Genomic DNA, 22704 nt, shown 5'->3' on the forward strand with positions numbered 1-22704 from the left:
ACTTGCCGCTATATCACAGGACAAGATCTGCTTTTAAGATGATTATACTCATGCTTTGATGTACTTAACACACTGAAATGAAATTCTGATTCAGCTGTAGAATCCCATCTTTTTGCAGCAGTTGAATGGATTTGTTTCCATGTATTCCATCAGATTTTAAATGATAACCTGGTGGCTGAGCTAGTGAATTTTAGCATATTGACAAAGAAGTGTTGAGCCTAAAAAGTACTTTGTCCTGTTAAATATTTGCTGGTCGGGCTTTTTTTTTTTTTTTTTTTTTTTGGAGTGTAGTGACAGTAACTGCTCAGTGCAACCTGCAACCTCCACCTCCCGAAATCAAGTGATTCTCGTGCCTCAGCCTCCCTAGTAGCAGGGATTACAGGTGTGCACCCCCACACCTGGCCAATTTTTGTGTTTTTAGTAGAGACAGGTTTTACCACATTGGCCAGGCTGGTCTCCAACTCCTGGCCTCCTGAAGTGCTGGGATTAAAGGCATGAGCCACCACACCTGGCCTCGATTGGGCTTTTAAGTAAATATGGGAATAAAAGCATTTCAAATGCTAAAATAAAGTTTTGGGAATGATGCTCATTCAGCAAATCTTCGACGACCATCTGTGGGCTAGCCCTGGGCTGAGTGATGATGACACAAGGTAATGAGTGATAACGCGCGTGGCCACCAAGGAATTCTCAGTCTAGTGGGAGAGACAGTGAAGTACAGTAAATTGTTTTCCAGCCTCAAATAACCTATATGTGAAATATATTAGTTTATGCACATTTGCCTCTTCCTTTTTCTTAGCCATGAGAATTCTAGTTGGCGTATAAGCAGATACAAAGCCATTGCCGTTGACAACAGATAGAGAAAGGGGCTGTAAAGAGGAAGGTGCAGTAGTCACAGTTAAAATCTTTAATGGTGTGTGAAGTATGAGACCTCCAAGTGTGGGGTGAAGTTGGTGAAAGCAGTCTGTTGAGGATCTGTGGAGAACCTGGCAATAGGCCCTGCAGGAATCTGATGTGTGAGGACCTTAGTAGTTGTGGCCTTGTGACATTGTGCCACTGGGTCTGAAAAACCCACCGTCTCATTGGCCATTGGCATGCAAAGTGAACTGTGCTTGTACCCATTAATCACAGATTCTTCTATTGGAGGGCTTTTTTTTTTTTCTTTTGGTCAGAGAAACCCTCAGATTGGTGCAAGCATAGTAGGCCTACTTCCACAAGGAAGCAGCTGCTTGTCTAGTTTGGTGTGTCAGGACAGGCTGCCTAGGTGAAAAGGATGTGGGCACTGTAGGAGAGTGAGCAGAAGCAGGTGGGTGGATGCAGACGCGAGAGCTCAGTGTAATGGGAGGACAGGATGCTGGGAATGTGGAGTCTCAAGAAAGGCAGGACTGATTTAGAGGAATGGATGACTTAAGCCATGGTTAAAAGTTTATAGATTGAAGAAGGCAAATCTGTTTGATGTAAACCTGATCTTTTTACTAGCATCGAAAACACTGAAATCTGTTTTTACTTATTTATTAATTTTTCTGTAGGATAAATTCCAGTTTACTAACTGTATTTTCTTCTCTAAAGAAAAGGGTTGTTGTTACCAACTTGAATGGTCACACCGCCCGAGTCAATTGCATACAGTGGATTTGTAAACAGGATGGCTGTAAGTATTAACCAGATTTTAAAGTTGATCTCAATTGTTTTCTGATAAAATAAGGTTAGCCATTTTTTTCTCATCACTTCTCTTAATTTAGCATTACCTTATATGATGTTATGCAATTGGAGAAACAAGAAAAATGGTATTCCCAGTGAAATATCTGAACTGTATTTTTACTTCGTAGCAGTTGAAGCTTGGATTATACAGCAGTGCTTAGGATGAGGGTAGTGCAGCCCTAGACTTTGGCAGGATCCTGTCCCACCTCCCCAGTTGCCTGTAACCTTTATTAAAAGAACTTGTAAGCAGGGCCTAGACTGAGGCTGTGTTTTAGAGACTTGGTTTCTTGGTCTGTTTCTGCCATAAACAAGCTATTGGTTTTTCTTTTTATTCTTTTTTCTTTTATTTACTTATTTATTTATTTATTTATTTTTTTTTTGCCAACTAGTTGGAGACTAGAATGTTTATTTTTTTAAGAGACAGGATCTCTCACTTGTTGCCCAAGCTGGAATGCAGCGGCTCCATCAGAGTTCTCTGCAATAGCTGGGACCACAAGTGTGTGGCACCACGCCTTTCTAGTTTTTTAGGGGTTTTTTTTTTTTTTTTTTTTTTTTTTTTTTGAGATGGAGTCTCGCTTTGTCACCCAGGCTGGAGTGCAGTGGCAAGATCTCGGCTCACTGCGAGCTCCGCCTCCCGGGTTCACACCATTCTCCTGCCTTGCTCTGTAGCCCAGGCTTGTCTCGTACTCCTAACCTCAAGCAGTCTTCCCTCTTTAGCCTCCCAAAGTGCTGGGATTACAGGATTAGCTACTGTACCCGGCCAGCTATTGCTTTTTTAGGCAAGACATTGCATCTCTATTGACCCTAGTTTGCACCTTAATAACATGTGAGAAGTAAGAGATTGGACTAGATCAAGGGTGTCTTAGAGGTTTGTAAGACCTATGAGATCAAATTATTTTCATAATGATATCAAGAAGTTATTCACAGTATTCATTCTCATTGTCATGAATGTACAGTGTTTTCCAGCAGCCACATGATGTATGATACTGCAGCAGATTAAATACAGAAGCAGATATGAAAATCCAGCTATATTCTAATAAAATCATATGTTAAAGAGATTTGTAGGAATGTAAAATAGTTCCTCTCTTTCATTAAGTTTTTGTTTTGGAAACCATTGGGGTTTTTCCCCATCAAAATGTTATATATGTTCACACATCATAGAACCCATTGTTATTTTTAAGTAAATGGTTAAACACATATTTTTCATATTTCTCAGTTTTAATTTCTAATGTGGTTAATATTGGTACATATGGTTCATATAATCAAAAGCTTTTTGGGGTCCTCAAAAATTGTAAGACTGTAAAGGAATTCTAAGACCAAAAGTTATGAAAATTTCTGGACAAGATTATCTCCAGGTCTCTTCATCTCTAAGATTCTGACTCCAGAATTTTCAGTTAAAATATTAGTTGCCTTTAGATGGTGCTCCCAAAATCCTATGATATTTCTTTAGTTATCTTAAATATATCTACTGTAGTTTTGATATGGGTTCTGAATTAGTTTTATTTTTCATTACACACTCATTTGAGGGCATTTTGAGCCAGGCACAAATGCAAAATTTTCTGAATTATTAAGACTTTGCTATGATTTTATAAATGATGTTTAAAAAAGTTTTAATAAGCTACTTATTTGCTTCTGTAGGATTAGTCACATGTTAGGTCAATAAAAATCATTAAATGGTACAAGGGATGCCTGTTAGTATGGATAATAAAACATAATTGCAATTATATTAATTGCCACCAGATAACATCAAAGACTGACTTTCAGTATAGGAGTTTGTTATAAAATGTTAATTTAGGCTTGTATGTTTTATCTTCCGTTTAAAAGTGAGGTTACATAAAATGGATTGCTTGTGTATTACTGTAATCTATAACTATTATGATTGATTTCCTTTCATTGAACTGCCAGATAATGCAGATAGCCTTTCCAACCCTTTATCGGTGATATATAAAATTTTAATATCATTTTGTATTTTTAATATGTCTGAATTTTAACATTACTTTTATGTATAGACATTCTTAAAATCATATAGTTAGTTAAGTGGCTCAATTGCTGTGACACATGAAGTTGAAGCCCATGATCACAGTTGGCTGGCAGCAGAGTTAGGACATGAACCTGGGCCTTCTGAGTTCAAATCTAATGCTCTTTAGTCCAGCTGCTTCCCTGAAACAAATAAAAAGAAAATCCAAACCCAAATTAGGTTATTTGCCCCTTTTTTGGTACTACTTTTTCTTTTGTTATCACTGAGAAGTTGCAAGTATTTAAAAGATCTATTTTGAAGTGTGTCTCTAATTTCAACAATAAGTCATATTCTTGGTAGTAGCACCTGACTACAATGTTTCATATAATGTTCCTGCCAAGAGTGTTTAGCCTGCATCTAATCATGAGGAAACAATCAAACAGATTGAGGGACATTCTGCAGAACAAGTGCTGGGTACTGTCATTGTCACAAAAATGAGGGGGACTAGGAAACTATTCTACATTAAAGGAGACTAAAAAGATTTGATATCCAAATGTTGAGTGTATTTCCTTAGATTCTGAATCCCAAACAAAAAAAGTTTTAAAAGGCATTACTGAGAGAATTGGGACATTTTAATATGGACTGTATATTATATAATAATACTTATCAATGTTAGAATTTTTGAATGTGATAATTGTATTGAGGTAATATAGGAGAACGTTTTTGTCCTTAGGAGATATATGGTCTTTGAGGATCAGAGATCACAGTGTCTGCCACTTATTTTTAAGTAGTTTGCCTCCTAAAAGGTGTGTGTGTATGTATATAGAGGAAGAGTGAGATATTAAGCAAATATGGCAAAATGTTACCAGTTTGTGAATCTAGGTAGAGGGTACAGGGGTATTGTTTTTTGGTGTAGCTTGGAAATTTTTAAAAATTGCAGAAAAAATGAATAAAGATATTTACTGAGATATAATTTTTTTCAGCCCCTTCTACTGAATTAGTTTCTGGAGGATCTGATAATCAAGTGATTCACTGGGAAATAGAGGATAATCAGGTGAGTGGACATGTTTATAATCAAGAAATGACTTTTTTTGTTCATTTGTTTTTTAAGAGGTAGAGTTTCACTCTGTCACCCAGGCTGACGTGCAGTGGTGCGATCGTGGCTCACCTCAGCCTCCTAAGTAGCTGGGACTACAGGTGCCTGACACCATGCCTGGCTGATTTCTGTTTGTTTGTTTGTTTGTTTTTGTAGAGATGGGGTCTTACTTTGTTGCCCAGGCTGGTCTCAGAAATGACTTTTATATATACTTTTATTTTAAGTTTTTTTCTTCAACTATGTTGTTCTTTTATGAAGTTAATCTTGCTCATCAGCAACACAAATGCTGTATCTTTTATACTACACAGGCCCTGTACCCTTTGCTCTGATTTCTACTCCCATATTTGTATGCTGTTAACTGTCTCTGTGAATTTCCTGTCATTTTGGAATAATTTTCAAACTATTCTTACTTGGGCTGATCTGTTTTCAATGCTTTTGGCATACGAATATAGATTTACAAGACTCTTCTCAGTGCTACCCCACACTTCTGTCATGTTATGTTTTTAAAAATTCTCTGATTGAGCTATAACTGCTTAAAGATGTGAAATGAGTATTTTCAATAGATTTAGTTTTTTCAGGGGGTAATGACAGACTTGTTAAAAAAAAAAAGGTTATAAATACAAAAAGTATAAAGAAGGAAAAACCTATGCAAAATCTGAGCAGAGTTAACTTTCTGGTGAATGTCATTCCCCGTCTCTAGTTATGTGTGTATAATTATGCATAATAGAGATTCTATTGTATCCAAGGATTTTTTAAACCTTTTTGAGGTGAGATCTGGCTGTGTTGCCCAGGCTGGAGTGCAGTGGCTGTTCATAGGTAAGATGATGGTGCACTATAGCCAAGGACTCCTGGACTCAGGTGATACTCCTACCGCAGCCTCCCAAGTAACTGGGACTGCTGGCACACACCACTGCACCTGGCTTAAGTGTTTTTTCCAAGAAGTCAAAGGCTAATGATTCTAAAGAAAGTTAGTGTACAGACCCTTATACATGAGTATTATGTGCATCTTCTTTAGTGGCAGAATTCTGTTTTAAGTATTATAATTGGAAAAACAACTGAAGAGACATTTAAGGAACACCACTATTTCAGCAGACAGTTGATAGAAGATACCTTTTAAAAGAAGTGGTGGAATGTCACACATTTGAAACTTAAAAAAAGATAAACCCAAAACATCAGTAGAAGGGATGCCAGAGGGAATAATCTTGATGGCAAGCAGATAGATTTGATAAGCCAATGGGATTTCCCACTTCTCTTTGCTATTTTTCTATTTTGCAGCCCTACTTGATTTAGGCAAGTATCATGAGTGGATGCTAAAAGTACTTAGTAAAAGTTTGATGAGGAATAGAATGTTTATTCAATCCCAAAGTATACTCATATTATCACCAAAAAAAAAAAAAAAAAAAAAAAATTAACATCACGGTGAAAAAACCTGGCAGACAATACTTCTACTAAATATAAAGGTTAGCTTCACTAAAACCTGGACAAACTGAAATGATGTGCCTCCTGATGGGATGTGCTTATGTAGTAATGCTGTCAAAATGTATATTCTGAATCTCTTCATAATGAAAATCACACTAATCCAAAAAGAGGAACATTCCACAAAGTTGACCTATATTCTTCAGAATACCTATTGTCTCCTCAGAGTAGATTCCTAGATATGAGATTGCTGTGTCACAGGGCATGCACATTTTGTGTGTTGTTAACATGGTCAGACAGACTTCTTGAAAAATTCTTTTCAACTTAGAGGACCTATTTCTGGCTCAGCCATTTTATTGGCACATTTATCCAATTAAATAAAGGTAAAAAAAATCCTTTTTTTCACAATGCTTCTGTCATTCTTTCTGATTCAGCTTTTAAAAGCAGTGCATCTTCAAGGCCATGAAGGACCTGTTTATGCGGTGCATGCTGTTTACCAGAGGAGGACATCAGATCCTGCATTATGTACACTGATCGTTTCTGCAGCTGCAGATTCTGCTGTTCGACTCTGGTCTAAAAAGGGTCCAGAAGGTAGGTTTGGAGACATGATAATCCAGACAAATGAAATAATATTTAACAAATGAATGACGAGTAGAAGAGCATATATATAATTCTTTACAACTTTGGAGCAACTTTAAAAATACTATAATTCTAATCTAAATTTTTCTTTTGCACTTATTTAAAATTCTCTATACCAAGACTTTTTCATGTAAGTCATTTTGCTGTCTGTAACATCATTAAAATTTGGCCATTTAACTTCACATGGTCAGTGGGGGCTCAGGATTGACTTCTCTCATCTCCCTTCTGCTACCTGGGGCTGTGATGATGCTATCCAACCTGTCTAGTTGGATAAGCTCTGAGGTAGTTAGTTGTTCATTGTGTTTTTTATTATTTCTTAGTAATGTGCCTTCAGACTTTAAACTTTGGAAATGGATTTGCTTTGGCTCTCTGCTTATCTTTTTTGCCAAATACTGATGGTGAGTATCCTGTTAAGTATATGTTAAAAGGGCAGTATATTTGCATACTGTCATATGATTAGAACCTAAAAGAAATGTATTGGGTCTTAATTTTGTATCTGAATGTTTCTATGAAACAAGATGTGAATAACATACTTTCCTTATAATATTCAAATGATCTGAGTATAGAACATAAAGTTAAGGGGGGCTTATTAGGATTTTGATAGCCATTGATAATTTAAATGACTTACTGTGTACCCAAGATTGATACTGTTATCAAATATACTGTGGATGTATATAGGTCTAATTTGAGGAAAGAATCTAATTCTTTAGAAGGTGAAGGTCTGGGGTAAGTTGAAAAAGTGTTGAATGAAGATGGCATATGAGCATTTCTCTCAAAATGATAGCTCCTTCACATCCCGAATAATGACATTTTGCCCAAGACCACTTAAAATCTGCAAACAGAAAAATTTCCCTTTTGCTGTGAAACCCATCTGTATTTATCTTTGAGTATCTTCTACAAAGATAATAGCCAGTGTGAGTGAGTCAGCCTCTTTGCCTCCACAGTTACCTGGAAGACTGGCCAGGTGGAACGAGGCAGGGCCTGGAAGCCACCAGCCTCTCTCGCCCTCTGTAGCAGGAGCTGCGACTCTATGGTTTCATGTTACGCTTCCATTCTGTGCAAGGCTCTGTGGAAGGAGAAGCTGCACACATTCTGGCATCATAACAGAATTTCATTTCTTCCATCTGCATTCAGGCCAAGTGACTGGAGTTTTGTTTTTATTGTTTTTATTTTTCTTTTTTCTGTAGTTGATCTAAAGTAAGAAAATCTTTGAAAAACACATTGGTGGCAAGGCATGTCCTTAGAAAAAGTCTCTTATCTAGCAGAGTCATCAGGGCTGCCCTTTGGTAATGCAAATTATTAATGATTTTTTATCTTATTAAAATAATTTTACAGTCACATCTTTCATAGCTTTTTAAAATTTTAAAATTTAAAATTTATTTATTTATTTTTTAGAGACAAAGTCTCATTCTGTCACTCAGGCTGGAGTGCAGTGGTGATCATAGCTCACTGCAGCCTCAAACTCCTGGGCTCAGGTGATTTTCCCACCTCAGCCAAGTGGCTGGGACTACAAGCATGCTCCACCACGCCCAGCTAATTTTTTTATTCTTGTAGAGACAAGGTCTGTTTATGTTGCCCAGGCTGGTCTTGGACTCCTGGCTTCAAGTGGTTCTCCTGTCTCGGCCTCCCAAAGTGCTGGGATCACAGATGTGAGCCACTGCGTCTGGATCCCCTTGCGTAGCTTTGTAAATTTTTTATTTTATTTTTTTGACACAGGGTCTCATTCTGTTGCCCAGGCTGGAGTGCAGTGGCGCCATCACAGCTCACCTCAGCCTCCTGAGTAGCTGGGACTCCAAGCACATGCCACCATGCCTGGCTAATTGCCTTGTATAGCTTTTTAGCCACATGCTTAATTATATGCTCTTTTATTTATTTTTATTTTTATTTTGGGGGATGGAGTCTCGCTCCGTCGCCCAGGCTGGAGTGCAGTGGTGCAATCTCGGCTCACTGCAATCTCTGCCTCCTGGGTTTAAGTGATTTTCCTGCTTCAGCCTCCTGAGTAACTGGGATTATAGGCATATGCCACCACGCCCAGATAATTTTTGTATTTTTAGTAGAGACAAGGTTTTGTCATGTTGGCCAGGCTGGTCTCAAATTCCTGACCTCAGGTGATCTGCCCACCTCAGCCTCCCAAAGGATAACGCCCTAGGATTACAGGCATGAGCCACCACACCCAGCCTTTTATTTTGTTTTAAACAAAATAAAACATAAGGTTTTCAAACAAAACATAAAGTCCTCAAATTAACAAACATACCCTTAAATCTGTGTGCATTAGCCATGTTGGTAGGGCTCATAGTAGCTGTTCATTATTTAGTTGTCTTAACAACTTTTCATCTTGGTCTTTGGGCTGACATGGTGAAAATGCTCTCTAGTTGCTCTTGAGCTTATTTTTCACTTCTATCATAAATGTCATAGAATGGAGAGAAGGACTGGATTCTCATTTAATAGTCATTATATTTACCAAGTAACCACTGAATAGAACGTTTTAGAGTGTTCATTGTATTCCTGCAGACATTTATTGAGCATTTTCAATTATTCGTGTAGTGGTGTGGGAAATTGAAGTCAGGATTCTTTACTTAGAGCTTACAATCCAGTACAGTTGATAAATCATAACGTGGTGGAATAGAGAACTCACAGTGAAGCCTGTTTTTTCTTCCCCCAGTACCAATATTAGCATGTGGCAATGATGATTGCAGAATTCACATATTTGCTCAACAAAATGATCAGGTAATAATGTTTATATTAAGAGGCTGGAATTATATTCTGCTTAGTTATATCTCAATACAGACTATATCCAGATTATAGAATTTTAGGGAATGTTCTAATCTAAACCAAAATAATCCAATAGAATCTTTTTTTGACAGTCCTCTGTTAAGATGGTTGTCTACTCTGAACACCAAGTAACCGCTGCCTTGACCATCAGGCTCAGAGTTGTTAGGGGGAAACAGGTCATTAGGTGGGGGAGGAGAGATGGAAGATGCTGTGGTAGTTGTTTTTCTCTTAAAGATTTAAACGAGATATAACATACCTACAGTGAAGCATTCCTAGTAGTGTTTATTTGCCCTTCTGAGCTTTACTTAGATTTTGAGTGGTTAAACTAAAGGAGAGAAATTTAGAAAGGGGTTGGTTAACTCTAAACTCATTTATTTAATAGGATACTCATTTCTTTGCATTCTATAAGAAGGTTAAAAATGGTTGTGAAAGTCCAGCTATTCAACTTTTTTTTTTTTTTTTTTGAGACAGAGTCTTGTTCTGTCTCCTAGGCTGGTGCAGTGGTGAGAACATGCGTCACTGTAGTCTTGACTTCCTGGGGTGAAGCAATCCTCCTGCCTCAGCCTCCTGTGTAGTTGAGACCACAGGCGTGTATCACCATGCCTGACTACTTTTTAAATTTTTTGTAGACACAGGGTCTCACTTTATTGCCCCGGCTGGTCTCAGTTTCCTGGCCTCAAGTGATAGTCCCACCTCCTCAGCCTCGCAAGGTATTAGGATTATAGGTGTGAGCCACTGCCCAACCCACCTTTTTTTCTATATTATATGTATAGTATGTATCATTTTATATCTTAAACATTTAAAATATTTGAGATTACAAATATTATATTATCTACTCAGAGGTGCTCCAGTTAGTGATTTAGATATTACGTGATGGGTTTTTCATTCCCAAAGGAATGCTTTTTCTTGTCTAATCAAATAGTGTTCTCAGTAAAAGAGCAACGCAGTAGGACTGTCTGAGACCAAATGATGTCACTGGTATACATGAAGATGTTAAATTCTTACATCAAGCCCAATGATTTTTATCTTACTAGTTTCAGAAAGTGCTTTCTCTCTGTGGACATGAGGATTGGATTAGAGGAGTGGAATGGGCAGCCTTTGGTCAGTATGAAATTTTGCTAATGCACATACAATGGGAACAAATATGTGTTACTTCCAAGAAAGCAGCCTTTTTTGTTTTAATTTTTAAGTTTTCTTTGTATGTTATGTTTTTCTATTGTCCCAATTAGAAAGGAGGATGCTTATCTCTTCTGTTGTTAGTTGGATGGTAGATGATTAAATAAATTGGTATTTATCAGATGACATTAGCTGTCTTGTTCACATGCAGACCTTCTTGAAAAGTTCTTTGTAGAACTTAGTAGACTATATACTACATGTTGTAAACATGTATTAGCATTGTATGCATATTTGTCAATGTTATTAAAAATGAATATAGATCAAATGAATTGGAGGGTAAGGAAACAAAGTATTGTTTTTTTTCTGGAAAATCTGGAAATATATATATTATAGACAAAAAAGTCTTATACATAAACTTCACAATATAATGTTTTAAAATTAATACAACTTATTTTTTAATTAGGTAGAGATCTTTTCCTAGCAAGCTGTTCACAAGATTGCCTGATAAGAATATGGAAGCTGTATATAAAGTCAACATCTTTAGAAACTCAGGATGACGATAACATAAGACTGAAAGAAAATACTTTTACCATAGAAAATGAAAGTGAGTAATAATGAAAATATCCAATATAACGATACTTAGGTCTCCTAGTTGGTTGATTTTTTTTTCACCACCCACCTATGTGAAGGATAGTTTTTCACAATTGTCAGATTCCTACCTGAAATTTCTTTTTTCTTTCTTTTTTTTTTTGAGACAGAGTTTTGCTTCTTCACCTCGGCTGGAGTGCAGTGGCGTGAGCTTGGCTCACTGCAACCTCCGTCTCCCAGGTTCAAGTGATTCTCCTGCCTCAGGTTCAAGTGATTCTCCTGCCTCAGCCTTCCAAGTAGCTGGGATTACAGGCACGCACCACCACGCCTGGCTAACTTTTTTGTATTTTTAGTAGAAATGGGGTTTCACCATGTTAGCCAGGCTGGTCTCGAACTCCTGACCTCAGGTGATCTGCCCGCCTCGGCCTCCCAAAGTGCTGGGATTACAGGTGTGAGCCACCGTGCCTGGCCTTTTTTTTTTTTTTTTTTTTGAGACTTCTTACCCAGGTTGGAGTGCAGTGGCATAATCACAGCTCACTGCAGCCTTGAACTCCTTGGCTCAAGTGGCTTAGCTTCCTGAGTAGCTAGGACTACGCCATCACACCCAGCTAATTTTTAAAATTTTCTGTAAAGATAGGGTCTTGCTATGTTGTCCAGGCTGTTTTTCAACTACTGGCCTCAAATGATCCTTCCACCTTGGTATCCTAAAGTGTTGGGATTACAGGTGTGGGCCACCATGCTTGGCCTGATACTTTGTATTTTCCTATTTTTATGTGAGAATGAGTCATTTTTCATATGTGAAATATTTTTCTTCTAAACCATATTAGTAAGATTTTTAAAATTGCTGAGGATAATGTTTAGTGCTTCTCATTAAAGTAATTTGTAAAATATTACTAAATTTGCAGTTTTAGCATAGGAAGACCTAAAGGAATAATGTGAATTACTTACACATTTTATTGGCCTATGATAAAAGACAAGCTAAATCTCACCATTTGAGTAGTATATTTAATTCTGATTTTCCTATTGTCTAGCCTTAGAACAGTATCCCTGGATGGTAGATCCTGTTGGGATGTTGTATTTGAAAGAGATATTTTTGGATGTGACAGTTATAAAGGTAGTTCAGTGAACATTGTTCACCTAGGTGTATTCTGTTTTTTGTTACTATTCTTGGTGGTAAAGTCCATCAGAGTTGAGATTTTGGTAACAGTTTTATGGGGAGAACGAAAAAATGATATAACCAGCATATTAGGAGTAGCTATACCCAAATATGAATTTTTTTCTATTTTCATTATATTGTTTGAAAGGTCAAAATACTGATTTCATTATCTTTATTTCTGCATTTATCCTTTTAAAAAATGGGATTTGTATTTGTCCATTCTTACGCTTCTATAAAGAACTTCCCAAGACTGGGTAATTTGTAAGAGAAAGAGGTTTAGTTGACTCACAGTTCTGCAAAGCTGAGGAGGCCTCAGGAAACTTAAATTAATAGCAGAAGGGGAAGCAGACACCTTCTTCACAGGGCATCTCCCACCAGATCCTTCCCTTGACAGGTGGGACTTAGGGGGATTACAATTCAAGATGAGATTTAGGTGAGGACACAGAGCCAAACCATATCAGTATTTTAGGCTATTATATTCTTATAATGAGTGAGGATAATAAAGAGGCTGGCATGACTGTTTTTCCTTCCTCATTGTGGTTTAACAAAAGTAGCTGTCTCAGAAAATTGTAAAAATATAAGATATTCCTTCATATTTATTTATGACCAGCTAGAACAGAATATAAGGAAAAATGTATAACTTTTTCTCCTATAATTTTGAACAGCAGTTGAGGTTGAAGAAATTTAGAATGCATGTTCTTTTTTTGAATCCCAACTATCATATTTTGTCCTAATTTTTTTTTCTTACATAATTGCCCAACTGTCTTGGTTATGGAAATATTCTTTTTAGAAGAGCTTTGAGGAAATAATACCTTCATTGCTTTTGTTATAGGTGTTAAAATAGCATTTGCTGTTACTCTGGAGACAGTGCTAGCCGGTCATGAAAACTGGGTAAATGCAGTTCACTGGCAACCTGTGTTTTACAAAGGTAGGAAGAAAACCATACACATATCCCTTACTCCAGTTAAATCTTATGGCACAGTAAGCTGACCAAATCAAGTGGAGAATTTTTTTACTGTGATTAGAAATCTCAAATACATGACATTTTCAAGTTGACAAAGTATAATACTGCATTCCTGGTCTGCTGGACACTCAGTTCCATTGAACATTGAACTCCTAAGTGGGAAAAGTGTAATTCCTGCCATGATGCTGAAACTACCACACCCCCAGTAACTTTTTATCTTAAAAGTTTCCACTTGATTATTATGGGATTGAAGAAAAACTGACTTTCAAGCCAACTTCACTGGATCCTTTACCCTCAGTAATAACAAAGTTGGTACCACTGAAATACATTATTTATGAGAAAGTAAGACTGTTACTCCTTCTTTCTTTTGCCATTTATCTCCATTTATAGAGTGACAGTTCTGTGCATGTTCAGGCTGGTGCTGGGTGTATAGCTAGGTAAGGCATAGCCTCACATTCTTCCCTGGCCTCTTCCCCAAGGCAATAACAGTAATAATTAATTCTTAGGCAAACTACCATTCACCTCTTCCTTACATTATGCTATGTTTGCTGTAATTTAAAAAACAAAAAAAATTGGAATTATAGATATTACAGCTTGCCTTTTTAGCTTACCGTGTTTTGGAGCTGTATCCACATTGATTTGTGAAGCTCTAGTTATTTGTTTTTATTGCACGGTAGTAGTCTGTTGTCTGAATATACCACAACCCATTTATCTCTTCTTCTAATGGTAGACATTTGTGGTGTTTGCAATTTTTTGCTATTACAAATAATGTGCAGTGAACATCCTTGCAGTACCCATGTTGTTTGTTGTTTTTTTCTGGTCATCTACAAACATGATGATTGTTGATCACCTAAAGGGATTAGGTTTTATTTTTTAGATGGTGTCCTACAGCAGCCAGTGAGATTATTATCTGCTTCCATGGATAAAACCATGATTCTCTGGGCTCCAGATGAAGAGTCAGGAGTTTGGCTAGAACAGGTAAAAATGTTGGATATTTAAGGAACAGAAAATTAAGTTTTGAACTCTGTATTTAAATCCCAAGTCTATATTGATAGACCTGCAAATTTTCACTGTGTACATTAAAATAGTGGGAATTTAACAGTCTCTGGAATCAGCGATTTCTGTTGTGAGAAACATAGACTATTGATTAAGAATTGTTTTCTGTCTGTTATTGTACAGGTTCGAGTAGGTGAAGTAGGTGGGAATACTTTGGGATTTTATGATTGCCAGTTCAATGAAGATGGCTCCATGATCATTGCTCATGCTTTCCACGGAGCGTTGCACCTTTGGAAACAGAATACAGTTAACCCAGTAAGAAAAGAGTGTTTAAATAAAGCATTTCTAATCAAATAGAGTACATTCTAGGTAAATAGTATTTTGCTTATAACACTCTACAGAAACATAGTAGAGGCACTTGAAGTTCAAGTGACATAACTTTTTTCTGTAGACATTGTTAAGGTATTGAAATTTGCATGTAGGTAAATTTGCTACGTAAGTGCACTGTATTCCTTTAAGCTATAGAATTTTTTAATGATAATTTTTCTGAAATGTGTAGCTTTCCTGTCTTCTTAAAAAGTTAACATAATTGGATATCTTGTTGGACTGCTAGATCCCTATTATTGAATGAATGTCAGTCATTTATTGTGACTGACGTTCAACACCTGGGCATGGTGGCTCTTCTCAGCAACTTGAAAGGCTGAGATGGAGGATTGCTTGAAGCTAGGAGTTTGAGAACAGCCTTGGTGAAAGAATAAGACCCGTCTCCAAAAAAAAAGAGGTAGTCTTCTCCCTTTAGTCATGTAACTGTCTCTCTACAGCATTCCTTCTCTTACTTTGTAATCTGATTTGCTTCTAATCTGCTTCTAGCTTGGGAAAATTAGATAGCAAGAACGGAGTGGCCAAGAGCACAGGCCCTTGGAGCTAGACAGCCTGGGTTCACTTACTAGCTATGTGTCCTTGAGGACATTAGTTAATCCCTGTCTCAGGTTCCTCATTTGTAAAACATGGGTAGTTTTTTTTTTTTTTTTTTTTTCTTTTAACAGGATCTTACTCTGTCATCCAGGTGTGATCATAGCTCACTGCAACCTCATTCTCCTGGGGTTAAGCCATCCTCACGCTTCAACTTCCTGAGTAGCTGGGACTACAGGTGCACCTCACCACACCCAGCTAATATCTAAAATTTTTTTTATAGACACAGGGTCTTGCTTTGTTGCCCTGCCTAGTCCTGAACTCCTGGCTTCAAGTGATCCTCCCGCCTCAGTCTCCCAAAGTGCTGGGATTACAGGTGTGAGCCACTGCATTTGGCATGTGGATTGTTAATATTACCTACTGACAGTTTTTGTTTGTTTGTTTGTTTGTTTTGAGACCGAGTTTTGCTCTTTTGGCCCAGGTTGGAGTGCAGTGGTGTGATCTCGGCTCACTGCAACCTCCACCTTCCGGGTTCAAGTGATTCTTCTGCCTCAGCCTCCTGAGTGGCTGGGATTACAGGTGCCTACCACCATATCTGGCTAATTTTGTATTTTTATTAGAGACGGGGTTTCACCATGTTGGCCAGCCTGGTCTCGAACTCCTGACCTCAGGTGATTCTGCCCCTCCCCCCGCCTCAGCCTCCCAAAGTGCTGGGATTACAGGCGTGAGCCACCGCACCTGGTCTACTGGCAGGGTTTTTATGAGGCTTAAATGAGTTAACATTTATATGATATGCAAAACAAGGCCTGGCACATACTGGATGCTATGTAAGTGTATTTTATTTTATTATTATTGTTGTGTTTTTTATTAACACTTACTTTTTTTTATAAAGTATATTGCAAAGGAAACAGAAGCAGAGACGTGTAGGGTGAGGTATGGGAGAAGGGGTGCCAAGCTCCCATGCCCTCCCTGGCTGTGCCGCCCTCCAGGAACCTCCATGTGCTTAGCTATTCGGAAGCTCCGAAGCTCCCTGAACTGTGTCGTCTTTGGTTTTTATGGCAGCTTCATGACGTCAGCATTTTTTCCCCCAGGGTGGAACCCTCTCATGGTCAGGTTTTTGTTTTTTTTTTTTTGAGATGGAGTCTCACTCTGTCACCCAGGCTGGAGTGCAGTGGCGCTATCTCGGCTCACTGCAAGCTCCGCCTCCCGAGTTCACACCATTCTCCTGCCTCAGCCTCCTGAGTAGCTGGGACTACAGGTGCCTGCCACCACACCTGGCTAATTTTTTGTATTTTTAGTAGAGACGGGGCTTCATGGTTTTAGCACCTCGTGATCTGCCCACCTCGGCCTCCCAGAGTGCTGAGATTACAGGTGTGACCCACTGCGCCCAGCTGGTCGGGTTTAAGACACACAGTCAAACAGGTGGGGAAGATTAGAGGCCTGACCCTGAAGCCTAATATACCCAATTTTGTAGGTGAAGACTGTAACAAGGGCTATGGGAGTTTTGAGCCAGGAAGTTTTGTCAGAGAAAACCAGTGTACTTAACACCTCAGGCCATGGATCCCTCAGGCCAGGGATCCTTTACATCAAAAAATATAGGCTGGGTGTGATGGCTCATGCTGGTAATCCCAGCACTTTGGGAGGCCAAGGCGGGAGGATTATTTGAGCCCAGGAGCTTGAGGCCAGCCTGGGCAACATAGGGAGACCCTGTCTGTACCAATAATTTTAAAAATTAGCCATGGGCTTGCAGCCCTGGGTATCGTTGCAGGCGCCTGTGGTCGCAGCTACTTGGGAAGCTGACGCAGGAGGATTGTGTGAGCCTGGGAAGTTGAGGCTGCAGTGAGCCATGGTTACACCACTGCATTCCAGCCTGGGTGATAGACCAAGACCCTGTCTCAAAAAAAAAATGTGTATGCACACACAGTCAATAATTAGTCCAGTCCATCATACTGTATGAATGTCTCCCAGGCTGAGGCCACTCAGGTTTGCAGATTTCCTTCAATCTTGTCAGGTTTCAGAAGGAGTAGCCTCAGTCAATATTATATACAACTTCACTTTTTCAGGCATCTGGGATAATTAAGCTAAGAGACAATGTCATCTCTTGCTCTTGAGACTCTTATGAGTTGTTAATGTGATATTGAATTTTCCTCAATGACCCATTTATTCATTTCTTTACTCTCAGCTGCTATTTCTCCTTCTCTCCATTAATACCCAAAGCTTTTCATCTTTGAAAGGCACATTAGAATTGCCATTGTGTTGATCTAGATTGCTGGCAGTAATACAAGTCAAGCAAGTAGCTCCTCAGTCTACTACGTTCAGACAGGATAAGGTTAGGTAGGTGCAGAACTAGTGAGCTATTTTTACCACCAGGCAATGTAGCTGTTTTCACCATTAGCCCTAATTTTGCTAGATGGGGTGAAGGTACAACCGTACAACCCATTCCCGTCATGCCTTAGGAATTTTGATACAAGACTTAGAAACATAGTTGCAGGGTTTTTTGTTTTGTTTTGTTTTTTTTTTTTTTGCTTAGAAATCATCCCTGCTGTTCCAGTACTTGTTGTTGCAGGCCTGGTCCTGGACCACTGCATCAGGTAGAGGAGAAAAAATAAATTAAAAAAAAAATTTTTTTGAGGCGATTTGGGGAAGAAAGAAAAAAAATATAGTCATTTTACCAGTGTATTCCTCCTTTGGTAAGAACCGCATAGTCATACCAGCATCCTCCCCAACCCCCTTCCCCATATCAACAAGAAAAACAAAAAATCTAGCAGGGACACTCAAGTTCCACTCATGTTGAGTGTGAGTACACACTCATGAAGGTGTGTAAGCCAGCCCTTCATGCTTTTATCTCCCCTTATTTTAGACAACCGATGTTTCAATCGTCCATTTCTACTTCTCTGTCAAACTGTGACTCTAAGGAGGAGATATCTCTACCCATTGTTGGACATTATGAGCTGTACAGTGTATCTTTGGTCTGAAGAAATGATGGTCGGCCATCCAGATCTATTTAATATCTTCTGTTCTGGTTTTTTTATGGCATGTTGAGCATTTTCATCTTTCATTTGATAAGCAAAACCTACTACACAGTCAGTTTCAGTTCCTGTCAAGACCCATTTATAGCTCCCCAGGTCTACTAGCATCAGTCTTACTTGCCAGCCATGTTCAGGGCCTTCCCACCAGAGTCTGCCCTGTAGCCATCAGCAGTCTCTGTTGCTGACAAACAGAGCAGTTCTTTCTGGCATTATGTGCCTTGGAATTGCCATCTACTAACCCAGCAGCTCTTGAGAGCTGTTCATCTGACACTGCAGAATCCAGCAGTTTTTCACACAGTTCCAGTGTCAGTTCTAGGGGAAAAGAAACTCCTTGCTCAAGGGTATCTCCTCCTTCCATTCTCCAGGTAGTATAAAGCATTTCCGTTTTATTATGGAACTCTTCCGGACACTGCCATCCCCATTAGAATGTTTCTCTGACATCACTGGAGACAGTATGGGTGTTTCAGGTGTCATAGGGATAGCTTCAGCTAATGTTTCATAGCAAGACAGTAAATGCCCCTCAAGTGGAAATACTCTAGTCCAAACCCCAGTAGTTGTTGCTGGGAGCTACTCAGAAGCTTTAGCCATAAGCTCGAGGAGCTGTTTCACAGAGGGTGATGAAGTGGAGAATTTATCCTTCCCAGCACTCTAGCTTCTACCCTGCATTGTGTGGTTCAGGCAATTCTGCTGGTTCCCATTTAGCATATCCAGTTAATATTGCTTGAAGGTCAGATTTACATGCTTTCTGTTTTACAGTACCAGGTAGGGGAAACATTCCCCAATCAGACACAATGTTCAGCCCCATGATACAATCAGGTAAAAGAGATGCAACCACTTCATATGAAGTGTGTTCAAATATGCCAACTTTCATAATCCTATTAACCCTTAGATTTTTATGTTCTGTTTTCAGGAACTTCACCCCCAGACCATTTTACCCTTTCTTGTACAAAAAGCTTTGGGTCCCTTGCTGCCAAGGGTTGAGCCAAAGGACTCCAGCCCTTTTGTCAGTAGTTTCCCCCCCTATTGCCCCACGCCAGATCAGATTTTTCACTGTAGTCTCTGCCTTCCAGCTTTTTTTTTTTTTTCTCTTTTTTTGAGACAGTGTCTCACTCTGTTGCTCAGGCTGGGGTACAGTTGTGCAGTCATGGCTGACTGCAGTCTTGACCTCCTGGGCTCAATCGATCCTCCCACCTCCACCTCCCGAGTAGCTGAGACTACAGGCAGGCACCGCCATGCCCGGCTAATTTCTATTTTTTGTAGAGACGGGGTTTCACCATGTTGCCCAGGCTGGTCTCAGACTCCTGGGCTCAAGCAGTCTACCCGCTTCTGCCTCCCAAAGTGCTGAGATTATAGGTGTGAGCCACCCTGACCTGCCCTGCCTTCCAGCTTTTACCATTTCTCCAAACTGGGAGAAGTGCAGTAAACTGGTTTGGCATCCTTTAATGTTGGGAGACCAGGCGGGACTCCCTTTGGTCCACCCAGCCTTTGATAGTGTTGTATTACTACTTCGTTTTAGGCCAGGCATGGCGTCTCACACCTGGAATCCTAACACTTAGGAAAGCTGAGGTGGATGGATGGATCTCTTGAGCCCAGGAGTTTGAGACAAGCCTGGGCAACATGGCAAAACCCCATCTCTACAAAAAAGACAAAAATTAGCCAGGCATGGTTAATTCTTTGGGCTGAAGAAATGATGGTTGGGCATCCAGATCCATTTAGTATCTTCTGTTCTGTTCTGTTTTTTTTTTTTTTTTTTTTTTTGAGGTGGAGTTTCGCTCTTGTTGCCCAGGCTGGAGTGCAATGGCATGATCTTGGCTCACTGCACTCTCGCCTCCCTGGTTCAATTGATTCTCCTGTCTCAGCCGCCTGAGTAGCTGGGATTACATGCACCCACCACCATGCCCGGCTAATTTTTTTTTTTGTATTTTTAGGAGAGACGGAGTTTCACCATGTTAGCCAGGCTGGTCAACTCCTGACCGCAAGTGACCCACCTTCCTCAGCCTCCCAAAGTGCTGGGATTACAGGCCTGAGCCACCATGCCCAGCCAGTTCTGGTTTTTTAATGGTTTTTTTCCAGCTACTCAGAGGCTGAGGTGGGAAGATCACTTGGGCCTGGGAGGGAGGGTGAGGCTGCAGTTAGCCGTGATTGCATCACTGCACTCTAACCTGGGTGACAGAGTGAGACCCTATCTCAAAAAAAAAAAAACAACAAAGATCTTTGTTTTAACACCATCAGTTTCCATTTTATTCTTTGTTTCTTAATAACCATCTAAAGATTTCCACCCTGCCTTTGAATCTCTCCCTTTTACCTTTCCTGTTTTCTTGTCAACCTAATGTTTTTATTAGCATCTGTAAGACTCATGAGAAGCTGAGACAGCAAGTTTAATAAGGCTTCTTGAACGGTTTATTGATTCTGCAGGAGTACCATCACATGGGGTGCCCATGTAGAAGGAACCCCCTTAACCATAGCATTTACTGTGATCTGGGTAACAGGCATATTCAGCAGGTGAATATCCCTGTCATCACATAGCCAGTCTCACAAGGCTTGCATACAAAGCATATTAGCTGCCCCATCTGGGGTGTTACACTTGGCATTTATAGATGATGTTAGGCAGTCCCCATTTTTGGGGGTAAACAGACCTTACAGTGGCATTTATCCAGTCCACCTGGCTGGCCGTTCCCTCAGGAATAATCTCCCGTGTGTCTGGATTATATATCCCCACCCACGATTGTTCACTAGTGAGCTGTGGGTCCTGCATCAACCCAAACATGCTCTTCCACTCTGTAGCATTTAAAACCAAAGATACTGCCCCTAAATTAATCACTTTCATAGTCCACTTTAGCAAAGGTTCCCCAGGAAACTGATGATACCAGTCTATAAGATGGAACAATTCCTTAGCACTACACCCTTTGGTTTCAGTAGTTACTTGGTTTTGCCCTTCCCCCACATTGACTACCTTCTTGGTAACCACAGGACTTAGAAATATTTTCTGTTGTCCCTGCATAATTCTCTGCTTTGTGGGTGACTTTGAGGCTGGTGGCCTGAGCTCGCACCCACATTTTGAGCTGGGTCCAGCCTCAAGTCCTTATCCAGCACCCTCTTGTACTTTCATTTTAGCCATTATAGATAACAGTGACCAAGGGATTGAATTTTGGATTGAATATTTCACTTTTTTCTTTTTAGTTTGCATTTCCTTATGTATCCAATGAACCAACTCTTGGAGTTGGATCTATCCGTAAATTCCACTGGTAACTTTAACCTTTAGTAACTGATCTCAACACAGCTGCAGCTTCATACCATTGGTGAGCACATGATCAAAGATTCCTCATTCCCCACCCTTTTATCCTTTTTCTTCCCAAACCACACGATTCCGTGAGTCAGGGCCTTTCCAGCAAATCCTGCTTCACTAAGTATGTAGGGAAAACTCTCTCTCTTACACCACAGCAATCATTAACTTCTGTGAGCAAATGTGTGGGGGTTTCTTCCCCGACACCAAGCAGCAGACACCAGCTGGGTGTTCTCTAATTCAGTTCCAACACTCTCTACCCAGAGATAGTGTCAGATCCCAGAGGTTGAGGGCTCAGTCCCCAAGACTGCCCCTACCCCAGCAGTCACAGTCCAGGCCTCAGGAACTTCTGACTGACCAGCTTCAAGTTAGGATTCCCTCGACCCCCTCTTTAGGTTCAGTTAATTTGGGGTGACTCACAGAACTCAGGGAAACACTTAACATTTATTGGTTTATGGTATTGAAAGTGACTTGTTTTTTATATAGACTTTTTTTTTTTTATAGAGCAGTTTTAGGTTAACAGCAAAATTGATCTGAAGGTACAGAGTTTCCACGTCCCTCTACCCCCACACATCAACTTGTAGCCTCCCCCACTACATTGTTACAGTCAAGGACGATTTTTTAAAAGCCAAACACTGCCCTTCAGGACTGTTACTGTGGGAAACTGTTAGTCCAAAAGTGCTGTCCATTGCTCAAAACTTTTTGTAAACTCCCATTAGTGCTAACTTTAGAATCAGTTTTTGTTCACAGAGGGAGTAACATTTTTTGTCACAGGCTTTTTTTTTTTTTTTTTTGGCCAGACATAATATAGTTTAGTCACAGACTTATCCATCAGATTAGGTTTTGAATGACCTATTAGCTATTTATACACATTTAATTTTCCTCTAAAGGTTAAGTTTTAGTCCCACTTGAGGTTGTTCAAAAAGGTGCTCTGTGGACCAGGCATATGACATTTTCTATATTTTGTTGTCATTATTTGTTTATATGGTTGTTGTTGCAGGCTTCTTAGTAGGTGAACCAACTAGGTTTGATTCAGTTGTCTGTCCTCTACACCTGTAACTCTTTTTACTTAATAAAGCCATCAG

General features: G+C 39.5%; 1 protein-coding gene across 15 annotated transcripts in view; it reads left to right on the forward strand.

The window, feature by feature from the left end:
• ELP2 (elongator acetyltransferase complex subunit 2) overlaps nt 1-22704 on the forward strand; it is a 50659-nt gene that overhangs the window by 1773 nt on the left and 26182 nt on the right. For 5 of the 15 annotated variants that reach the window (NR_137173.2, NR_040110.3, NR_136898.2 and 2 more), the window contains exons 2-11: nt 1567-1645; nt 4636-4706; nt 6599-6755; nt 7124-7201; nt 9466-9530; nt 10610-10676; nt 11155-11295; nt 13268-13363; nt 14277-14377; nt 14579-14710. Coding sequence is in view for 11 of the 15 variants with exons in the window: in NM_018255.4 (NP_060725.1) it covers nt 1567-1645; nt 4636-4706; nt 6599-6755; nt 7124-7201; nt 9466-9530; nt 10610-10676; nt 11155-11295; nt 13268-13363; nt 14277-14377; nt 14579-14710 (987 nt within the window). In the remaining 4 variants the exon portion in view is untranslated. Of the gene's footprint in view, nt 1-1566; nt 1646-4635; nt 4707-6598; nt 6756-7123; nt 7202-7747; nt 7943-9465; nt 9531-10609; nt 10677-11154; nt 11296-13267; nt 13364-14276; nt 14378-14578; nt 14711-22704 lie in introns of all 15 variants that reach the window. The other 10 variants (NM_001242875.3, XM_047437610.1, NM_001324466.2 and 7 more) reach the window with 9 other exon arrangements.

The sequence above is a fragment of the Homo sapiens genome, chromosome 18 (genome assembly GCF_000001405.40).
Source record: "Homo sapiens chromosome 18, GRCh38.p14 Primary Assembly".
NCBI classification, from domain to species: domain Eukaryota; kingdom Metazoa; phylum Chordata; class Mammalia; order Primates; family Hominidae; genus Homo; species Homo sapiens.